Source organism: Homo sapiens, chromosome 2 (genome assembly GCF_000001405.40).
Source record: "Homo sapiens chromosome 2, GRCh38.p14 Primary Assembly".
NCBI classification, from domain to species: Eukaryota; Metazoa; Chordata; class Mammalia; order Primates; family Hominidae; genus Homo; species Homo sapiens.
The window spans coordinates 42,792,949-42,814,134 of NC_000002.12; the positions used below are offsets into that span (position 1 = coordinate 42,792,949).

At 45.6% G+C, this 21,186-nt stretch overlaps 1 non-coding gene and 1 pseudogene across 1 annotated transcript, besides 8 other annotated features; one reads left to right on the forward strand and one right to left on the reverse strand.

Moving 5' to 3' along the window:
* Nucleotides 102-201: a silencer, noted in NCBI's record as "silent region_11412". NCBI's record gives its function as "represses an Ori minimal core promoter by ATAC-STARR-seq in GM12878 lymphoblastoid cells {active_cell/tissue: GM12878}" and the evidence as "EXISTENCE:reporter gene assay evidence [ECO:0000049][PMID:35858748]".
* Nucleotides 282-371: a silencer, noted in NCBI's record as "silent region_11413". NCBI's record gives its function as "represses an Ori minimal core promoter by ATAC-STARR-seq in GM12878 lymphoblastoid cells {active_cell/tissue: GM12878}" and the evidence as "EXISTENCE:reporter gene assay evidence [ECO:0000049][PMID:35858748]".
* Nucleotides 2,580-2,629: an enhancer, noted in NCBI's record as "active region_15652". NCBI's record gives its function as "activates an Ori minimal core promoter by ATAC-STARR-seq in GM12878 lymphoblastoid cells {active_cell/tissue: GM12878}" and the evidence as "EXISTENCE:reporter gene assay evidence [ECO:0000049][PMID:35858748]".
* Nucleotides 3,144-3,513: an enhancer, noted in NCBI's record as "active region_15653". NCBI's record gives its function as "activates an Ori minimal core promoter by ATAC-STARR-seq in GM12878 lymphoblastoid cells {active_cell/tissue: GM12878}" and the evidence as "EXISTENCE:reporter gene assay evidence [ECO:0000049][PMID:35858748]".
* On the reverse strand, nt 4,278-5,785 carry FTOP1 (FTO pseudogene 1; annotated as a pseudogene).
* Nucleotides 16,892-17,661: a silencer, noted in NCBI's record as "silent region_11414". NCBI's record gives its function as "represses an Ori minimal core promoter by ATAC-STARR-seq in GM12878 lymphoblastoid cells {active_cell/tissue: GM12878}" and the evidence as "EXISTENCE:reporter gene assay evidence [ECO:0000049][PMID:35858748]".
* On the forward strand, nt 17,588-17,680 carry TRI-TAT2-1 (tRNA-Ile (anticodon TAT) 2-1). The gene is given in 2 exon segments: nt 17,588-17,625; nt 17,645-17,680. It is a non-coding gene; the product is annotated as a tRNA-Ile (tRNA).
* Nucleotides 17,952-18,241: a silencer, noted in NCBI's record as "silent region_11415". NCBI's record gives its function as "represses an Ori minimal core promoter by ATAC-STARR-seq in GM12878 lymphoblastoid cells {active_cell/tissue: GM12878}" and the evidence as "EXISTENCE:reporter gene assay evidence [ECO:0000049][PMID:35858748]".
* Nucleotides 18,322-18,421: an enhancer, noted in NCBI's record as "active region_15654". NCBI's record gives its function as "activates an Ori minimal core promoter by ATAC-STARR-seq in GM12878 lymphoblastoid cells {active_cell/tissue: GM12878}" and the evidence as "EXISTENCE:reporter gene assay evidence [ECO:0000049][PMID:35858748]".
* Nucleotides 18,452-18,531: an enhancer, noted in NCBI's record as "active region_15655". NCBI's record gives its function as "activates an Ori minimal core promoter by ATAC-STARR-seq in GM12878 lymphoblastoid cells {active_cell/tissue: GM12878}" and the evidence as "EXISTENCE:reporter gene assay evidence [ECO:0000049][PMID:35858748]".

Sequence of the window (21,186 nt, forward strand, 5' to 3'; positions counted from 1 at the left end):
ATCCCAGGGAAGGTTCCCAGAAATACTACAGTGAGGAGATCGCGGGTTGGAAGTCCCAGCACCTGAGAACACGGTGCTGGCGCTGGGCTCAAGATTTGGCTTTCCCATCTGGAAAAGGGGAATGACTGCCCCGCCACTCAGGGCTGCGGCGCTCACCCAGCGGGAAGCCGCACGGCGGTCCCCGCAGGTCCCGATTCAAGGTGAGCCCCAGACCTGCTGCGTGCGGCCGGCAGACTCCGCCGCGGGCTCGGCGAGGGGAGCGGTGCAGGCGCCGAGCTGCGGAGCCCGGGCTCAGGGCAGGACCGCGAGCCCTCCCCACCTGAGGCCCAGCCGAGCGGCCGCTGTCCGCGCAGTGTCGCAGTGGACCCCGAGCCCCGTGCTGAACTCCTTAGGCGTCTTAGGAACATACTCAGTTCGCACGCAGCTATGGGAGGAATTTGGCAGATGTGGACACCGGCCTCAGTGTCCTAGCCCTCGGGAATCTCGGGGTGTTAATGATGACAGCCCCGTGTGAGAGACTCTAACAGTTATCCTGGGGGTGAGGGGCTGGGGCGCTGGGCCTGGGCGTGCATGTGTGAGGAAAGAGAAATCTGCGCGGGTGTGGAAGATGGAGAAGCCTGTCTTTCTGCAGGACTCAGAACTTTCTTAGGAAGTTTGGAGGGAGTGGGAGCTGACGGGTAGGGGAGGAGGAAAATGGCTCAGGCCCCTGACACCGGAATCCAGACTATAGAGTTTAAGAAACTAAACGCCTCTAAATCCTGCCCTCACAGCCCGCCTGGCCTGGGCTGGTTTTCTCAGCATTCCAGACATAAAGACTCCTCTAGTACAACTCAAAATCAAAACCCAGACGACAGGAAGCCGAATTCCCCACTGAGACCCTCCCGTTTCCTCTCTGACGCTCTTTTTTTTTTTTTCATTTTTCTCTCTCCTTTTTTTTAGTTATTTATCTAGCACAGTTTTAGCTGAGCACTTCTAGTGCAAAACTAGAATATCGTTTTGCACCCAAGTAACTCACACCACCTTCTTTATTTTTCTCATCTACAAGTAATCAGAGGAGACGTAAACAATGACACATGAAGCACTGAGGATCTGAGATGTGTTAAGTTTGCTTTGAGTGTTAGTTAAATGGAGGGATGGGTGAGTGGGTGGATGAAGGCATCAATGAATTCACACAAAAAGGAGAAAAAATTGATTTCAGCCCAACAGATGTTCCGTTACCATAGTGCAAAGGAAAGAATGATAGGTACTCTGTATTTTAACTGATGTGATCAAATAATGTGAATAATTAAGGCCACAAGTAGAATTTTGGGGGTCTGAAATATCCCGAGTAACCCTCTACACAAGCTAAATGACTGCTATGTTATCACTATCAAATATGCCCTCTGATTTGTGCTGTGTAGAGCAAATACCACGTCTGGTCTACTGAATTGGCAAGCCTCCTGGCTCAGGCACCACTGGACTCCAATGTTCAGAAAACGGACAGTTGCTATGTTGTGAGTATTCTGGCATTGTTGAGTTGGAACCATCTGGAATCCTTCTGGATACTGACTGTTGGGCCCCTTGTAGTTTCTGGAATTTACCCGCTTCTAGGAGCCACCTCTCTCCTCTGCACACAGGAGCTCATCTGCACTAAAGGATTAGAAGCAAATAGAATCTACCCCACGATCCAAGCTCAAAGGATCTGGCCTGCTTGCTGGTGTCTTCCCCTGGCCTCCGCTGGGTGGTGTTTGCCTGCCCAGGTCACTGAGACCAGCAGATCCTTCTAGGCTTTGCTGAACCTGGCTGGTAATAACTATCTGACCCTTCAATTCTTCCATACACTGAACTCGTTGCTCCAGTGAATCCCTTTCCCAGCCCACCTTGTTTTGTCTCTGCCTTTCTGTCTCTCCCACTTTCTCACCCTTTCATGTAATTCAGCAACTATTTTAAAACAAATAGCTTTATATGAACAAAAGGACTAGATCATGAACTACACTGGTTATTTGGAAGTCTAGGTTCTGGTCCTGCTACCCCTTTAACTTGAGTTATTTACAAGTCTGTTTAAAAGTTTCTAGACATACACTGGTTTGTTTTTTGTTTGGCTATCGTTTTGTTTTTCATTTCTAATTGTATTGCATTGTGGTGAGAGAAGATGGTCCGTGTTGTATTATTTTTGGGTGGGGAGATGTGTTAAGATTTCCTTTGCAGTTTAGCTTATGGTCAATTTTTGTGAATGTGTATACTCTGCTTAGAACGTAGTTCAGAATATTTCTATTAGGTCATGCTATTGTGTTAGTCAAATAGTCTTGATCTTTATTTTTTAAAGTGCTTAATATTTTATTTTCCAAGAGAGATATGTTAAAATCTAACACTGTGATTTTTGGGGTCAATTTTTCCTTTTTTTTTTTTTTTTTTTTTTTGAGACCGGTTCTCACTCTGTGCCTAGGCTGGAGTGCAGTGGTGCGATCTTAGCCTCAATCTCTCCGGGCTCATGTGATCCTCCTGCCTGTCCTCACTGTAGCTGGGACTACAGGCTCACACCACCACGCCTGGCTTTTTGTATTTTTTTTGTAGAGATGGGGTTTCCCCATGTTGTCCAGGCTGGTCTTGAACTCCTGGGCTCACAAAGTGCTGTAATCACAAAGTGCTGGGATTACAGCTGCGAGCCAGTGTGCCCAGCCTCTCCTTATTCTTTAACAGCTTTTGCTTTACATATTCTGAATGTATGTCATTAGACGAAAACATGCTCATGACTATTTTATCTTCTTCTTGTAGTGTTTCTTTTATCTCTAAGAAATATTTCCTCTTAGTTTCTTTTCACCTTGACTTCAACTTTGATATTAATATTCCTACACCCACTTTGTGCTAGTGTTTTCCAGATATGGTAAGTTGATCAAAAAGATGACACAATAACTCCTTCCCTTCCTGAATCCATACGCCTTGTGACTTTGCCTCTGTTCTAATAAGAGGTGAAGTCCATTTCCTTATTCGTTGAATCATGTTTGGCATTGTGACTTGTGAATACAGAAGGCAGCAGAACTAATGCTATGGGACATCTGAGTCTAGTCCTCACCAGGTCTCCCAGCTGCTGATCTCATCACCTGGAACGCTGCTCCCACCATGTGTAGAAGCCTGGGTTAGTGTCCTGGAGGATGAGAGACAATGTGGAGGGTGAGGCTGGCCAACAGCCTGCACCAGCTGTGTAAGACCATCTGAGATGACTGTAGCTGCATGAGTGAACCCAGGGGAGACATGCAGAGACTTGCCCAGCTGTCTTACTTGTTACTTTAAGCCATTCAGTTTTTTCTAAGATAAAAAAGGTTAGTTTATCTAGGCAGAAATAGTATGTAAATAATTATACAAGTAGTACATGGATATGACGAAAACCTTGAAGCTGATGTGCAAAGAGCTGAAATTTGGAAAATACTTAATGAGAGAATGGCCTAAAGAGCTATTCGGTACTCTGAATTCCCCAAAGGCAAGGACCAATATTTATCCACCTCCGATATCTCCTCCGGAACCTTACACAGTACTTGGAACACAGTGGACTCTCTACAAATACCAAATTGGGAATTAACTCTTATTATAAACACTGAGTGTCAGCCCTGGTTCTTCCGGGCTCCAAAACTAACATATGAGTAGATTTCTCCAGGTAGACAAGAGTGAGGTAAACCCCCAAGAATCAGGAACTAGAGCCAAGTAAAGAATAAGCCCCGAGAAGCTTTGAGTAAAAAAGGATACTGTTTGCACATTGCGTATTGGAAAACAAGTAGAAAGTCCAAAAACAAAATAAAAACTTACAGCAGGAAGAAAAAAAAAAAAAGCCCCACAAACTCTACAGCTTAAGTTAGCCTAACCACAGCTGAGATATTTCTTCCGAAAGAACTAAATGACAAGTTGAGAGAAAGGCCCCATTGTCAGGTCAGCTGTTCCTGAGAAGAACTAAATTCAAAACTAGACAAAACTCTCTCACTACTAAAAACGCATATAGACAGGGAAGCATTTTTTCAAGTTATACTAATAAGTTGACTTGGATGCTTTAATAGCTTTCATGAATAATTCTGAAAATTGTTTAGCATATTTGAGGAACTCCACAACTACTTAGAATAAAAAGAAAAGCAACTTTTTAAAATTTAGTAGTATCTCAAAAAAGAAAAACCTAGTTACATGTTCTTGTAAAGAAGTTTCACTATTAATATCAAATGCTCCAGAAGTTTACTTTATAAGACATATTCAAAATATATACCCAATAATCTAAATTTAGATGCTAGAGTAGCAATATAATTTTGGTTCTCCAAAGATTACCAAGCATGAAATAGCAGTCTCCTTGGGGTGTTGCCAAACCAGGTGTCTTTACATCCCATGAGATCTTAACACCAACATGCCAAGTATCAAGATCTCTGCCTTCAAGATGAGAGTCGTCCTCACTTTCCTCTTTGGGGCCTGTCCACCAGATTTTCAGCATGATGCCAGCGCACTGCCATTTTCCGCATGCCAAAATAAGGTTTCTCTTTCAGGTGTGGGATTTTCGGAGGATCCATGAATTCAGCAAAGTTACGTTGTATGCTGCTCTACTCTTTATGTCCAGTTCATCTTCTTGTCCATCACCGGATGACCCCATGCCAGCACTGGGGAAATCTGCAGCCAAACACACTGGCACAGCATCCTCATTAGCTTTCTCTTTGGCAGCAAGTTCTTCCAAAGCCTAGATTATTTCTATCTGCAGGTAGTCATTGACCTTGAGGAAGGTCTGACAAGCAGCAGCTATTTCAGCCTTGGTGTATTTTATTTTATTTTTTGAGACAGAGTCTCACTCTGTTTCCCAGGCTGGAGTGCAGTGGCACGATCTTGGCTCACTGCAGCCTCTGCCTCCTGGGTTTGAGCGATCCTCCTGCCTCAGCCTCCCGAGTAGCTGGGATTGCAGGTCCGTCCATGCCATCATGCTAATTTTTGTATTTTTTTTAGTGGAGACAGGGTTTCACCATTTTGGCCAGGCTGGTCTGGAACTCCTGGCCTCAAGTGATCTGCCCACCTCGGCCTCCCAAATTGCTGGATTACAGGGCGTGAGTCACTGCACCTGACCCTCGGTGTATTTTATATTAGACCCTTTCACTGGCCATGGTACCATAAAGAACCTAGTGTTCAGGGACTTGTAGGTGCAACCTGGATTACCAATGAGGATGGGAGATACTGAAGTGAGCAAATCTTTGCCTTGGATCCTAACCAGGGCTCAAAATAAGCAGCCATGCTTGTGCAGTGTGAGAAAAGCTTCTTGAGCCTCTTTTTTTTTTTTTTTTTTTTTTTGAGACGGAGTCTCACTTTGTCTCCCAGGCTAGAGTGCAGTGGCTCGATCTTAGCTCACTGCAAGCTCTGCCTCCCAGGTTCACGCCATTCTCCTGCCTCAGCCTCCCGAGTAGCTGGGACTACAGGCATCCACCACTACGCCCGGCTAATTTTTAAAAATATTTTTAGTAGAGATGTGGTTTCACCGTGTTAGCCAGGATGGTCTCGATCTCCTGACCTCGTGATCCTCCTGCCTCGGCCTCCCAAAGTGCTGGGATTACAGGCGTGAGCCACTGCGCCCGGCCTCTTGAGCCTCTTTATGGAGCTCCCCAGATACACTGCTGGCTTCTTGGAGAATTAATTTAGGATATTTCAGCTGCCACGGCTGATAGAATTCATCTTTGGGGGTCAGATAAGGAAGCCAAGTGTCTTCAAACTCTTCAAAATGCCTCAGTTTCTTAGCTTTGCACTCTTGTTCCTCGGCAATCAGGGTGTGCTTCATGCGGCCACTAAAGCCACCTTCCTAAGTCATTAAGGTTTGGTTTGGTTTTGTTTTTTGAGACAGTCTCACTCTGTCGCCCAGGCTGAAGTGCAGTGGCACAATCTTGGCTCACTGCAACCACCACCTCCCGGGTTCAAATGATTCTACTGCCTCAGCCTCCCAAGTAACTGGGATTACAGGCGCGTGACACCATGCCCGGCTAACTTTGTATTTTTAGTAGAGACAGGATGTCACCATGTTGGCCAGGCTGGTCTCGAACGCCTGACCTCAAGAGATCCACCCGCCTCGGCCTCCCAAAGTGCTGGGATTATAGGCATGAGCCACGTGCCCGGCACTAAGTCATTAAGTTTTGAGGGTGGTTTGTTATACTGCAGTAGATAACTGAGACAACAGGTATATGGTTTCCCTGCATCATTTTGTTTTAGATATATCTTTCATGAAGGGCACCTACCTGGAGTTTAAAAAAAATCCAATCTGTTAGTTACGTGTTTAGTAGTCATTGGATTCAACTCTTTCATATCTATTTAATTATTGCTACATTTGTACTTATTCGTAGCATCTTCTTTTGGTTTTGTAACTACCATGTTGTGTGAGTTTCCTATAGCTGCTATAATAAATTACCACAGGCCCAGCATGGTGGCTCAAACCTATAATCCCAGCACTTCGGGAGGCCAGGGAGGAAGGATGGCTTGAGGCCTGGAATTTGAGACCAGCCTGGGCTATATAGCCAGATGCTGTCTTTACGAAAAAATAAAATAAAATAAATTGAAAAAAATCACAAACTTAGTGCCTTAAAACAACACAAATGTATTGTCTTATAGTTTTGAAGGTCAGAAGTCTGAATGGGTCTTATAGGCTAAATCAAGGTATTGTCAGAGCTGCATTATTTCTGAGAACTCTAGAAGAAAATCTGTTCTCTTGCCTTTTCCACCTTCTAGAAGCCACCTGCATTCCTTGGCTCACAGGGTGCCTTCCTTCTTCATTAAAACACATCATTTCATTCTCTTTTTTTGTTGTCACATTTCCTCTGTAACTAATCCTTGTGATTACATTGGGCCTACCCAGATAATCCAGGATAATCTCTTCATCGAACTACTTAATCACATCTGCAACATCCCCTTTTGTTTTGTAAGGTGACATACTCAGATTCCGGGGATCAGGACAGGAGATTTTTGAAAAGAACCAAGAAGGATTATTTCATCTACCACACATCCCTTTTCCTGGTTTCTTTTTTATCCTCTTTTTTGCTTTCCTAATCTATCAAGATGCTTGTGGCTGCAAAGTAGCAGAGGCCTTAGTTAAACAATGCTGTAATCAACAGAAAGACAGAAGGCTTACACAACTGGATACCCAGAGGAGAGTGAGCCCGTGACTCAGCATCGCCATCATGGACCCTGGTTCTTTCCATCCCTCCCATCTGCTACCCATAGCATTAGCTTCATCCCGAGGCTGGTTCCTTGAGTGGCCAAGGGATGAGGCTGGAAGTGTCCTTATTCACACCCACTGAGGGAGATAGTTGAGTACTTATCACTTTCCATTTGGACCCGGTTTCACAAGCTTGGCACTATTATTATTATTAGCAGTAGTAGTGGTAGGGACGGGGGTCTCACTCTGGAGCTGTCTCACTCTGTTGCTCCAGGCTGGAGTGCAGTGGTGTGATGACAGCTCACTGCAACCCTGAACTCCTGAGCTCAAGTGATCCTCCTGCCTCAGCCTCCCAAGCAGCTGGGACTACAGGTGCGCATCACCACACTGGATTCATTTTTAAATTTTTTGTAGAGATAGGTCCTCGATATGCTGCCCAAGCTGCTCTCAAAGTCCTTGGCTCAAGCGATCTTCCCACCTTGGCTTCTCAAAGTGTTGGGATTACAGGCGTGAGCCACTAAGCCCTGGCTCCCTTAGCAGTTTCCAAACCCACCCTGTGGTTTTCCCAATACCTGCAGAACCAGCTTTAAAGTGACCACAGCAGAGATGCCAGTGCAGATGCTGGAGCCTTTCCTCAGAAGTCTGAGTTTCAATTATGCAGAGGGCTCTTCCTCCAACTTCTAAGCTTTAGTGGTTCAACTTCTTCCTTTGTTCTCTCAGCCCGAGTGGGTAGCTGCTTCTTGCAGTTACTAACTTAAGTGATACTGCAGATTTGTTTTTTTGACTTTTCAGTTATCTAGTTAATAACCATAAACCTAGTTAACAGTTCTCTGTATTACATTGTCTCTGTTAAATAATTGGTATAGTTTCTGTCCCCTGACTGATGTATCTTTATAAGCTTAATTCTCTATTACGATACATTTGTTTATGGTTGTGATTTGCACCTCTGGGAGGGTTAGGTTCTAAGATCAGGGTATCAAACAATAAAACTTGTTGGTCCCCCAATACACTGCCTCCTTAATGTAATCGAAATTGGCTGTTGGCCCTGGGATGGAGCCAGCTACCCTAGCTAAGACACTGTTGGGCAGTGCAGAGCAGAATTTGGCAGCTGAGGAGAAGGCCTCTCATCTGGCTGTGGTCAGTGTCAGTTCCTCAGGGCTCTCTGCAAACAGAACTGGAAGTTTATGCTCCCTTTTACCCCACAGGCAGAAGGTCCCTCTGGGAGAAATTCATAGGCCAGCTCTGTGCTGAGATTTCAGTTTAGCTTATATATCTGCTACATTTCCATTTTCCCCTGCTCCAGGGCCAGTTGGACCACCCCTCCCTCCCTGTCTTCCCTCCCTCCTTTCTCCATGAAGACATTTTTCAGCTCCCTCGTCTTCTTTCTCTTTTTTGCCAGGGGCCATTGAATGCTACCTCATTTCAAATCACTCTGGGTTAGTGCCCTCCTCCCAGCCCCCATATCCTCTGGCATGTGCCTCATTCTTCCTGGCATGGATCCCGCATGTCTTAGATGGGAGAAGGCATGCATGGATTCTTATGAGTCCCGGGTACTGTGAGCAGTGGCCAAGCTTGGCATTTCTTGTAGCCCAGATGTCATGGAGGAATTCATACTTGCTACCTACAGATAAAGAAACAGAAAATCAATGACTTACCCGAGGCATTTAGCCACTCCTACAACTTAATTAAAAAAAAAGACCAAAACCCAAAAACAAAAAAGAAGACAAACAAAAAACAACAAAACAATGGGCAAAAGGTTTGAGCAACCATTTTATAAAGATACACAGATGACCAATAAGCACACACAAAATATTGCTTAACATCATTAGTTGAGCAATTAATGACATGCTCAAATTAAATATATGCAAATTAATTTGCATTGTATAAATGCAAATTAACATGCAAATTAAATATACAATGAGATACTATTACACACCCGGTAGAATGGCTAAAATTAAAGACTGACAATATGAAGCATTGGTGAGGATGTCAAGCAACTGGAACTCTCAACATTACTGGTGGGAGTATAAGGTGGCACAACTAATTTGAAAAAAAAGAGTTCCATAGTTTCTTATAAAACTAAACATAGGGGTCGGGTTCTGGGGCTCATGTCCGTAATCCCAGTGTTTTGGGAGGCTGAGGTGGGAAAATCCCTTGAGGCCAGTAGTTCACGACAAGCCTGGGAAACATGGCAAGACCTCATTTCTAATTTAAAAAAAAAAGTTCGCAGACAGTGGTGGCGTGTGCCTATAGTCCCATCTACTGGGGAGGCTCAGGCAGGAGGATTGCATGAGCCCGGGAGTCTGAGGTTGCAGTGGGCTATGATGGCATCATTGCACTCCAATCTGGGCAACAGAGATAGACCCTGTCTCAAAAACAAAGCCCCAAACAACCACCAAACATAGGACCTTTATCAAAATTAAAAACTTTTGTGCATCAAAGGACACTATCAAGAGAGTGAAAAGGCAAGCTACAAAATGGGAGAAAATATTTGCAAACCATGTATCTGATAACGGGTTAATAGCCAGAATATAAAACAACTCCCCAAACTCAACAACAAAAAAAACAAGCAACAGAATTTAAAAAATAGGCAAAGGACTTGACAGACATTCCTCCAAAGGAGATATATAAATGGCTGATAAACCCATAAAAAGATGCTCACATCACTAATGATTAGGGATGCGCAAATCAAAACTACAGTGAGATAGTGCTTCATTTCATTAGGATGGCTATTATAAAAACAACAGCAACCACAACAAACCAAAACATAAAATGGCAAGTGTTGGTGAAGATGTGGAACTCTTGTGTATTTTTAGTGAGAATGTAAAAATGGCACAGCTGCTGTGGAAAACTGTATGGTGGCTTATCAAAAAAATTGAACATAGAATTAACTGTATCTTCCAGGAATTCCACTTTTAGAGATACACCCAAGAGAACTGAAAGCAGGGACTCAAACAGATATTTGTACACCGATGTTAGTAGTAACATTAGTCACAATAACTAAAAGATGAAAACAACCCAGCGTCTATTGACAGATGAATGTATAAACCAAACGTAGTATCACATATAATGAAATATTATTCAGCCTTAAGAAGAAATGAAGTTTTGATAGATGTTACAACATAAATAAGCCTTAAAAATATTACGCTAAGTGAAACAAACCATGCACAAAGGACAAATATTGTATGATTCCACTTTTATGAATACTCAGAATAGTCAAATTTGTAGAGATAGAAGGTAAAATAGTGGTTACTGGGCTCGGGGGAGGAGGTAATGGAGAGTTATTGTTTAATGGGTATGGGGTTTCAGTTGAGATGAGAAAAAAGTTGCGGAGATGAATAGTGGAGATGGTTGTACAACAACGTAAATGTATTTAATGCCACTGAATCACACACTTAAAAAGGGTTAAAATGGTAAATTTTATGTTCTGTATATTTTACCACTATAAAAAGAAAAAAATAGCCAGGTGTGGTGGCTCACGCCTGTAATCCCAGCACTTTAGGAGGCTGAAGCGGGCAAATCACTTGAGGTCAGGAGATATAAAAAAATTAGCCGGGCGTCATAATGTACTAAATGCCACTGGATTGTACAATTTAAAAACAGTTAAAATGGTAAATTTTATGTTATGTGTAATTTGCCACAATAAAAATGCTAAAAACAAAGAAACTATACAGAAACATACCTTACAACCCAGCAATTCCATTTCTGTATTTATCCAAGAGAAATAAAAATAAAAATACTTGTACACATATGCTCCTAGAAGCTTGTAAAAGCCCCACATAGGAAAGAGCCTAGGATGTCCATCAATAGGAGAATGGCTCAGCCAACTGTGGTATATATGATCAATGGACAACTATTGAAGTCACTCAACCAGTTGGTTGAGCAGAAACATGGATGTAGATTGTTTTACTCCAGTTTCTTGTCTTTCTTCTTCCCCACAAGGTGGGCTTTCCCACTCACCCAAAAATTTTGACCTAAGGAACACCTTGAGTGTTACTGAAACCCTAGAGCTCCCTGGCGGGCTCTGTTGAAACTCTTCCTTTGTCCTCTCACAGGAAAGTCATCATCTGTGCTGTGGCCTCCGAGACCTCTATCTGGTCCCATAGGTTTGGGTCCATCCCTTGCCAGGATTGACAGAGGAACCCTCCCCATTCCTCAGCAGAGGGGAATCTAGGCACAGAGGCGCCCAGCATGCCTGGGTCATGGTTTTCACCTCTCTAGGGGTCAGAATTCTAACTGGTCTTTCTTTCCCATGTTTCAAGTTGGAATGCTTTGGCCACCAATACACAGGCTTCTGTGAGCCTGACAAGAGCCTCTCTTGGGGGTGACCCTGAGAGGCACAGAGTTGTCAAGGCCAGGCATGCTCACTGTTCTCCAAGTTGCAAAATGAGCCATCTACTCCATACAGTTTGAGGGCATGGATCTTCAGTTGCACAATCTGTATTTGAATCTTAGCTTTACCACTTGTTTTGGTAAACTGCACGACCTCACTGTGCTGCACGTTCCTCATTGGTGAAAGGAAATGAGAATGCTACTTGCTTCATGGGGTTGCTGTGAGGATGAAATTGCTTCATAGGGTGTCAAGTTCTTGGAGTTGGTGCGTAGCACATGATAAGTACTATGTAAGTGTATTATTTTTACCCACCAACCACCATGTTCTCCATGTTCTTTGAAGGCTGTTGTTCTCCAACAAGTGAAAAGAAATAATTAATGCATCCTATCAGTCAGGATTCAGACACACCAGTAGTTTGAATAGGGAAAATTTAATGTAAAAAATTATTAACTAGTAAAGGAGGATTCATTACGAAGAAGGGTAAATGGAACTCTAGATAATTCAGGAATAACAAAGGGAGCAGCCACTACCTCTAGGGCTGACATAGGGAACCCAAGGAAGCAACAAACTCTCCCTCCCCTCCAAGGCTGAGATTCAGAGTTCACTGGTGAGGGTGGCTCCGGGGCCTGCGGATGGTGGAGGAGTTTGCTGAGGTGCTGCAGGCTGAGGATGGCAAGCAGGAAACTCTGTCGGGTGCTGGCAAAATCTCACCGGGAAGCCGCCCACTGGCAGCTGTGCTGTAGGAGCCAGAAGAAAAGCACTGAGCTAGGAAGAGAAGTCCCTTCTAGTGTTCTTCTAGCACTTTCTACTGACAAGACCTAACAGTGGCACCAGCTGACAAGACAAATACTTTCAGGGTCCAGCTCCAAGATCACAAAGCAGGGCCAAGAAGGGCGAATTTGGAGTAGAGCAGTACGAAATGGACTGGTACACACCCCATCCATGTTCTTATAGAGACGTTTAACAAGGAGTTTTCCCTAATTATGGTTTATATATTTATGGTAACACAAAAGGGAGCTAGGATTAGGGTGACCATATGTTCCAAATTGTCCGGGACGGCACAATTCATGCTTGTTGGTCCAGTATTATTAACAGTGCTCCTTTTGACTCTCAGAAATGTCCCTGTTTGGAGGATAAATTATGTGGTCACATTATCTACAGATGCATCAGCTTCCATGAAACTAACCTTCCCACTGCTAGTAGCTAGAAATTCTGTAAATACCCCACCCTACCCCCAATCTGTCTGAATGCAACAATGAGCCACCAAGGCAGCCTAAGGGCTAAGGGGCCAAAATTTCATGGAGAAGAGAAGTGCATTCAGGGGGGCTCAGCACCCTGAGCTGCTGTCCTCCTTGAAGTGTTTGTCAGTGACAGAAACTATGAGGCTGAAAAGGTGAGCAGAAAGCAATGGCTCTCCAGAGGAACATATGATTAAAAATACATCGAGTCATCCATAGGATCGTTTTTTTTTTTTTTTTTTTTTTTTTTTTTTTTTTTTTTTTTTTTTTGAGATGGAGTCTCGCTCTGTCGCCCAGGCTGGAGTGCAGTGGCGTGATCTCGGCTCACTGCAACCTCCGCCTCCCGGGTTCACACCATTCTCCTGCCTCAGCCTCCCAAGTAGCTGGGATTATAGGCACCCACCACCACGCCTGGCTAATTTTTTGTATTTTTAGTAGAGACGGGGTTTCACCATGTTAGGCAGGATGGTCTCGATCTCCTGACCTCGTGATCTGCCCACCTCGGCCTCCCAAAGTGCTGGAATTACAGGTGTGACTCACCACGCCCAGCTAGGAGTGATCTTAATGAGTATAAGACGCAATTCTAAGTGATATGAAAGGACTGTGTCATAGTTAAAACGGTAGGTTTTGTTTTCTTAATGGTACATAAAATAATAGCACATTTTACAATTTAGAGTGTTTTAGATTTGATGAAATATGGTATATTTGTCCACAAGTATGGGTATATCTGTAAGAGAGAATCTTATAGAAACTGCTGGATCAAAAGATACATGCATTTAAAACACTGACAGATTCTGATAAACTATCTTAAAAACAAAACCAACTAAAGACTATCCATTTCCCCACACTCTCATCAACACTGGACATTACCAATCTTTAAAATTTTTCTCATCTGACAGGCTCTCACCACTTCTTCATTTCGGTGTCAATCCAGGCAATTTGATGGGATCCCTCAAATTATCATATGTTCCACTCTCTGTGTAATTGGTTCAAATCTGCAGCACACCTCCCTAGAGCATGGGCCTTGAGACCTACACCTCTTTCTCCTCCTAAGGGAAAATAAGGGGTCATTTTCCCCGGGGATGCTGGTGAGCATCATGGACTATCAGGACAGGAGGGGACCTCAGACACTGACAAATGGAGGGGGTTCTGAAAGGCATTCAGGAAGGTCCACAGTGTTGCACGTGGCAGTGGCATCTTTTACATTTCCATTTGGAAAAATAACAATTAAAATAATCCTTTAAGATCCCCCGCTACCCATTAAAATGGAATCACTTTGGAAGCCTCTGAATGCGTGCTCACCGGTACATGAAGCATTCATTCCTTGAACACCAGATATGCGTTCATGTGACAGCTGCTTGGGTGGCTTCTCATGTGGGCTTTGCCTACTCTACAGCAATATTTTTAAAAGTCATATGCTGCTTAATATATACCCATAATGAAATGCTGGCTAAAAATAGAAAATATAAAACATTTGCTGGAATAAAGTAAATGAGGACCATAAAATGAGAATTCTACAATTTTGAACCAAGACGATTTTCATTCACTAGACCTACAAATTGCATTCAGCCCATCAAACTGTTTATATGGCTCATCACGGTGTCTCTTGTATATCTGAAACCAAAGTCATAGAGAAAATATAGTGACCATTAGATCTGATTTGGCCTCTCATTATTAGAAATGAAGACCAGCCATACCCACATCATGCTATTTGCAGAATGTCACTTGCATACAGCAGTCTGAACCCTTCTGTTTTATCTCATCATTTAGACACAAAAAATGAAAGTAATAAAAATAAACCAGTTTTTTAAAAAAAATGCAAAAGGCATGAATTCCAAACATTCATTTAGGAAAGCAGTTTTTGTCTATTTTTGATGCTACAATGAGTCATTAAGTTTCATACATTTTAATATACATTTGTCCCAATACCAGATATATGTTATTTTAAAAGATATTTGTTAACAAAGCATGCTTTCCCCTTACATAATTAAACATTTTGCATTACTTGGAAAATGTGAAAAGGTTGAAACTAGTCTTTTAATAATATAGATATTACTGCTGTATTTATGTATTTACTGAGACAGGGTCTCTCTCTGTCGCCCAGGCTGAAGTGCAGTAGTGTGATCTCAGCTCACTGCAACCCACAGGAGGTTTCGCCATGTTGGTCAGGCTGGTCTCAAACTCCTGGCCTCAAGTGATTCACCTGCCTTGGCCTCCCAAAGTGCTGGGATTACAGGTGTGAGCCAAAGTGCCCAGCCGGTATTACTGTTTTAAAGTTATACATGGATCTAAAATAAGTTTTATTTAACAATCCCTTCTCTATTACACATCATACACAAATTATTGCATGATAAAATACTTCCAAGGTGTTGGCAAGAGTATACATGGTAAAAGGGGTCCTCCACTAGTCAAGCCAGGCTGGAGACCTCTTATCTGGTCTAGATTCTTCAATTTATAGATGAGGAAACTGAGGCCCGGAGAGAGTAAGAGACTTATTACAGTCTCTTACAAACTTAAGAGGACCACAGCGAAGACTCCTAAGTTCATTGTTCTTTAGCGGCAGTCTGGGTGAGGTTAAGTGCCTTTCAGGTCCCAGGAGACTTTTCCTTGCTGGAAAAGATCTCCAGCAGCGGAGTTTCTGACCCTGCCCCCTTCACCAGGTGCAGCCTTACCCACACTAGGCTCATTAGAGAACAAATATTCTTGGGGGCTAAGCAATTTAGGTTCACTTTATGAGGGGCTGACTTCCCCTTACATGCAGTCGGGGATCAGTCAGTATCTGTGGAACCAATAAAGGAGTAGATCCATGAATGGGGCTAGTGGGAGGGGACGCTGGACCACCGAGGGCCAACTCTGCTGCTTGTGGTTCACCAGGTGGGCTCTGCCTGAGAGACTCCAGAGGAAGGGCAGATTCTGCAAATGCTACGGGATTTGAGAAGACGCTGTGCATGAGTCCACAATTTATTTGTTACCAGGAATTAACCCCTTTCAATTTAGGGGGGAAAAATCATCCCCACCCTGCACAAACCATGCATTTACCTTTACATCCTGTTCCAGCTTCCGGGAAGAACTTATTTAACGGATCACTCTCTGTTGCCCTTGATTTACCCTGGCCTCATCCACAAGTGCTCCAAGGAGCCCTAATCCTGGCATGCTGTAAAGAGCCCTGTATCCCACCACCTGCCTGGTGCGGGGTGGGATCTTGCGAGGTGTTGACCATCCCTGTTGTGAGTTCCTGAGTCTCCAGATGTGTCTCTCAGCTTACAAAACCATCTGGAAACAGCCTCCCCGGGCTTCTTTCTAAGGAGACTTTCCTAAAAACTCCTTCGGGAGGCCCCCTGCGTTACATAGAATCTTTTGCTACCTCCTCATGGTCTACCTGATCACTTTAACTCTTCTGCTCGAGTTTCAAGGCCTTCTACAGTCCAGGACCATCCCACTGCTTGACATTTGTCACCCTAACACAATCTGTTACTGTGGCCAAGTCACCCTCAAGGTGACTACACAAATGACCTTCATTCTGTCCATCGCTTGCTCATGCAGTTTCCCCCATTATTGCCATAATCATTCTGTTGTTTGCTCGGCTGGCTCTCCCAGGAGAGCAGACGTCATCAAACAGGTGACCAACATGCCAACAGGTGCTCAGAGACCATCAAGATGTGTGAGACAAGCCTGAAGGAAGAGACGGGGGTGGTGGGCACTCGGGAGGTGGCTGGCACTCTGGAGGTGGCTGCTACCTTCCCTGGAGGACCAGCTTCCTGGCAGGCTTATCAATTAGGTACAACAGGCACAGTGCATAGACCAGAAAAAATTTAAATGTTAATTTCTTTTGAAATGAGAAGAAAACGAATATAGTATTAAATGAAAAATAGTAATATGAATATAGCAATAAATTCAGCTTGAAATACATTCATTTTTATATCATCACAGTGGTAAAATATAATTTTCCAAAACTTTTTCTTTTTTTTTTTAAATGGAGGACAGGAGCTCACGAAGACAAAAGTGCCTACGGCCAAGAACAGTCATAATTCAGCCCTGGGTGCAGTGTTTAGATTTTGTTTTGTTTTTAAATGGATATCTAGATATTTGTATGAGATCGCCTGATTTTAAGTAATGGAAATTAGTTTTAACATCAAACATTTTGTGGCCCAACAAAACACGCAGGGTTTGGGCTGCAACTCCTCCAAAGCCGGGGCTATCTCCGCGTCCTCCGCTTGGGGTGGCCTGGCCGGGTTTCGGGGCCCCGCCTCCTGCCTGGAGGGCCCAAGAGCTGCCGGAACCTCGCGAGCCGGACCAGGCGCCAAGCCACAGCCGCGCGCCGCCACCGGCCCCTGGCCTCGCCCGGCCGGGGCGCCCCCGCCAGCCGCCACTGGGGGGCTCCGGACGCTCTCCTTCCGGGGGGCCCCGCGGGCAGTCGGATCGGGCCTCCCCGGGGCGCGGGAGCAAGGCCGCCCGGCTCAGCCCCAGCCCCAGCCCCAGCCCCACCCCCGGACCGCGTCACCACCGCGGCGAGGCCCGCCTGCCGCTTCCCCGGCCTGGGCCCTGCCCCTCGCGGGCCGGCTCCGGGACGCGAAGCCCATAGAGGGGGTTTTCCGGCCGCAGGCGCTGGGGCCGCTCCTCCTACGGCGAGGCCCGGGGCTGCGCGCTGCGCTCTTTGCAGGGCCCCCGTGGCCCTCCCGTCACGGCCAGGCTAGGCGGCCCCTCCATCCCCGAGGGCGACACTCGCAGGCTTCCCCGGCTCGATCGGCTGCGGAACAGCCGGGAGCTCGGCGCGAAGTCGCAGAAGGCTCGGGCCTGGGCTCGCGCCGCGAACGCGCATGCTCTGCCGAGGCCCGCCGCGGGCGCCAGCGCACCCTGATAGAGCCATCACGAGGCCCATTCAGCAGAGCTCCAGTGGCGCAATCGGTTAGCGCGCGGTACTTATACAGCAGTACATGCAGAGCAATGCCGAGGTTGTGAGTTCGAGCCTCACCTGGAGCAAGACCCTTTTGGATGTTCGCAACCCCTTTTGTGTATCTCGTTGCCAGAAGTAAGGAGTCTCTCTTTAGTCTTCTCCCTTCTTGTTTCTAACTGCTCTGCCGCACGTCCCCATTGGCCGCAAGCAGGAAGCAGCTCGCAGTGGACTCTCAATACCCCTTTTCCGAGCTACTTGTTGCCACCGCGCGACATCCAGCCGCTCGAACTCGGACATCCACCCACTGCGTCCTTCTAGTGCTCTTCTTAGGCGGGTCCTGTAACTGCACCTAGTCCCGGACCACAGGAGGGCGGATGGAGGTGGCGAGGCGCTCCACTGTGGCGGGGTCCCTAGCTGGCCGTGGGGATCGAATATTCTACAGGGCACTTCATTCTACAGTGTGAGCCCGAGCTCCCGGTGCGGAGATGAGGCCTGGGGCCGGGCCGCTGCCCCTCGCCCCCGGGCGGGGCCCAAGCACCGCCGACCATTCCCAGGCGTTGGGGCCCGAGGCCTAGCGCGGGGCGTCCGGGGAGCTGTGGGGAGACCTGGGGCGGCTGTTTTCCGCCCTTGTAACTCGTGATGAGTTCTTCCCCCTCGCTTCTGTCTGCAGAGACCAATAAGACTGCGGGCCCTTCTCCTCAACCCAGGCGCCCAGCCGTCCCTGGGCAGATTTGCAGTTTGGGGAATGTGCTCGGAGAGTTCCCCTCCCCATCATGTGCCCCTTCTCCTAGCGGCACGTCACAAATCCTGGTTCAGAAGTCCTCCCGGGGGCCGGGAAATCAGGCCAAGTGGTCGCCGGCGGATGCGCCCTGCCCCACATCGCCAGGGGGGGTAGGCAAAGCGGGCACAAGCTTAGTTAAGGGATGGAAAGCCTCCTGGACGTGTTCTTTCAAAGGGGAGATTTTCAGCTGTTTTCATGGACGGGATCGTTGCTAGATTTTGGGTGGAAATATTACCCCGCGAGTGGTGAAAATCAAGACCTAGAACGTTCAGAGAAATGGATGGAGGGCGGAGCTCTTGTCTATCTCCTGCGCTAGCCCAGGCTTCGGTTGCTCTCACCCATCCAGCCCCTCGATGCAGAACAGGAACCCTATGCCAACTGGAATGTGGGAAGGGCCGCCCACTTCCCCTCGTCCTGGTGCCGGGTTCCTCGCCAGCCCCGGGGAGGTCGCCTCTGGCTCACAGACATCCTCAGAGGCATGGGATAGGTCCCCTGTAGAAATGCAGCCCAGGCTTAGAAACAAATAAAATCTCTATCCATTAAAAAAGAATAATAATAATAATAAAAAAATAGGCGCGGTGGCTCACGCCTGTAATCCCGGCTTGGGAGGCTAAGGTCGGCGGATTTTTTTTTTTTTTTAATCACCCAGGAGTTTAAGACCAGCCTGGCCATCAGGGCGAAACCCCGTATCTACTAAAAATACAAAAATTAGCCGGGTGTGGTGGCGCATACCTGTAATCCCAGCTACTCGGGAGGCTGAGGTGAGAGGATCTCTTGGATTCGAGAGGCCGAGGTTGTAGTGAGCTGAGATGGCACCACTGCTCCAGCCTGGGCCAGACCTGTCTAAAAAAACAAAACAAAACAAAACAAAACAAAAAAAACTTGCGGCTGAGCGTGGTGGCTCACGCCTGTAATCCCAGCACTTTGGGAGGCCAAGGCGGGCGGATCACGAGGTCAGGAGACCATCCTGGCTAGCACTGTGAAACCCCGCCTCTACTAAAAATACAAAAAATTAGCCGGCTGTGGTGGCGTGCGCCTGTAATCCCAGCTACTCGGGAGGCTGAGGCAGGAGAATTGCTTGAACCTGGGAGGCGGAAATTGCAGTGAGCCGAGATCGCGCCACTGCACTCCAGCCTGGGCGACACAGCGAGACTCCGTCTCAAAAAAAAAAAAAAAAAAAAAAAAAAAGTATGCTTACTTTCTATAAAAAAAAAAACAAAAAACCCAACAGCTTTAATGGGATATAATTCCTATACCATACAACTCGCCCATTTTACAGTGTACAATGGATTTTAGTATATTCACAGATAAGTACAATCATCACCACAGTAAATTTTCAAACATTTTCATCACCTCAAGACTAGTTCTCACCCTCTCATCTTCCCATCCTGTTCCCCCACCAGCCCTAAGCAACCACAAATCCACTTTTTGTCTCTGTAGATTTCCCTAGTCTGGACTTTCCTACGAATGGAATTATACAGCATGTGGTCTTTTGTAATTGGCTTTTTCACTTTATAATGTTTTCAATATTCATCCATATTGTACCATATATCAGTGCTTCATTTCTTTTTATGACTGTATGACAGTCCATTGTATGGATTCTTTCCATTTTTGAATAATGGAGAAAGGGTTGGCATTTTCAAAAGGAAATTTGCCAAAAACTGCTTTGTAAGAGGTGATTAATTTTAAAATGCACAAACAGAAAAGTGATCAGACTCAGAAAGTGCAGGTTTCTAATCTTCACAGGTAACTCACTGACCACCAGGAGTCTCTTAGGTACTTCTGAGAGCTGAGCTCAAAGCAAGATCCCAAACAGACAACAATAAATGAATGAGAGATCATTCTGTCAACCTCCTATCCACAGAGAAATCCTTTCCACAAAACCCTAGCTCCTATTTGAAAACTGCTAGCATCAGAATTTCAGTTCCTCTCAAGGCAACTTATTCCATTTTCCAACAACTCTTATGGTTAGAACATTCTTCAATATTGTTTCTGTCCCTACTGGTTACTGCTGGAATGGCAGTGGCTTTAGGAACTGTTTTCCTGATAAGATGGTAGGGTTGGAAGGAAGCTAAACTAGTTCTTCTTTCCTTAATTTAGAAATCTTCAGCTACGAAATTATTGATTAGGCCATAAACAACAAACATACTCTGAGCCTATTTGTGGCCCAGTGTCTTAAAGTGATGTTGATAGAATTTTTTAAGGTTGTGGTGGGTGATAAAAATCAAGTGAGGCAGGGCATGGTGGCTCACACCGTAATTCCAACACTTTGGGAGGCTGAGGCAGAAGGATTGTTTGAGCCCAGGAGTTCCAGACCAGCCTGGGCAACATGGTGAAACCCTGTCTCTACAAAAAATACAAAAATTAACCCAGTGTGATGAGGCACGCCTGTAGTCTCAGCTACTTGGGAGGCTGAGGTGGGAGGCTCACCTGAGCCCAAGAGGTCGAGGCAGCAGTGAGCTGAGATTGCACCACTGCACTCCAGCCTGAGTGACTCTGTCTCAATTAAAAAAAAAAAAATCAAGTCAGAATATGGGAAAATGCTTTAAAAACCACAAAGTATTATGACATTTTTATTAGCATCAGACCACTGGCTTAGGCCTGACTATACTGTGTAGTGGCTTCAAGAAGGAAGTGGGTAAGTATGAAGTGACCAAACTGCGAAGGAAGCTTGAAGTGACAACTGAACAACCCCAGGCCCCAGCAGGAGAGAAACCTGATGTAACCCAGGCTGACCTTGGCTTTGTAGAATGCTTGGATGAAGAAGGGCTCATCAGAGCTAGGGGTGACACAGCCTGAAAGGAGTGCAGA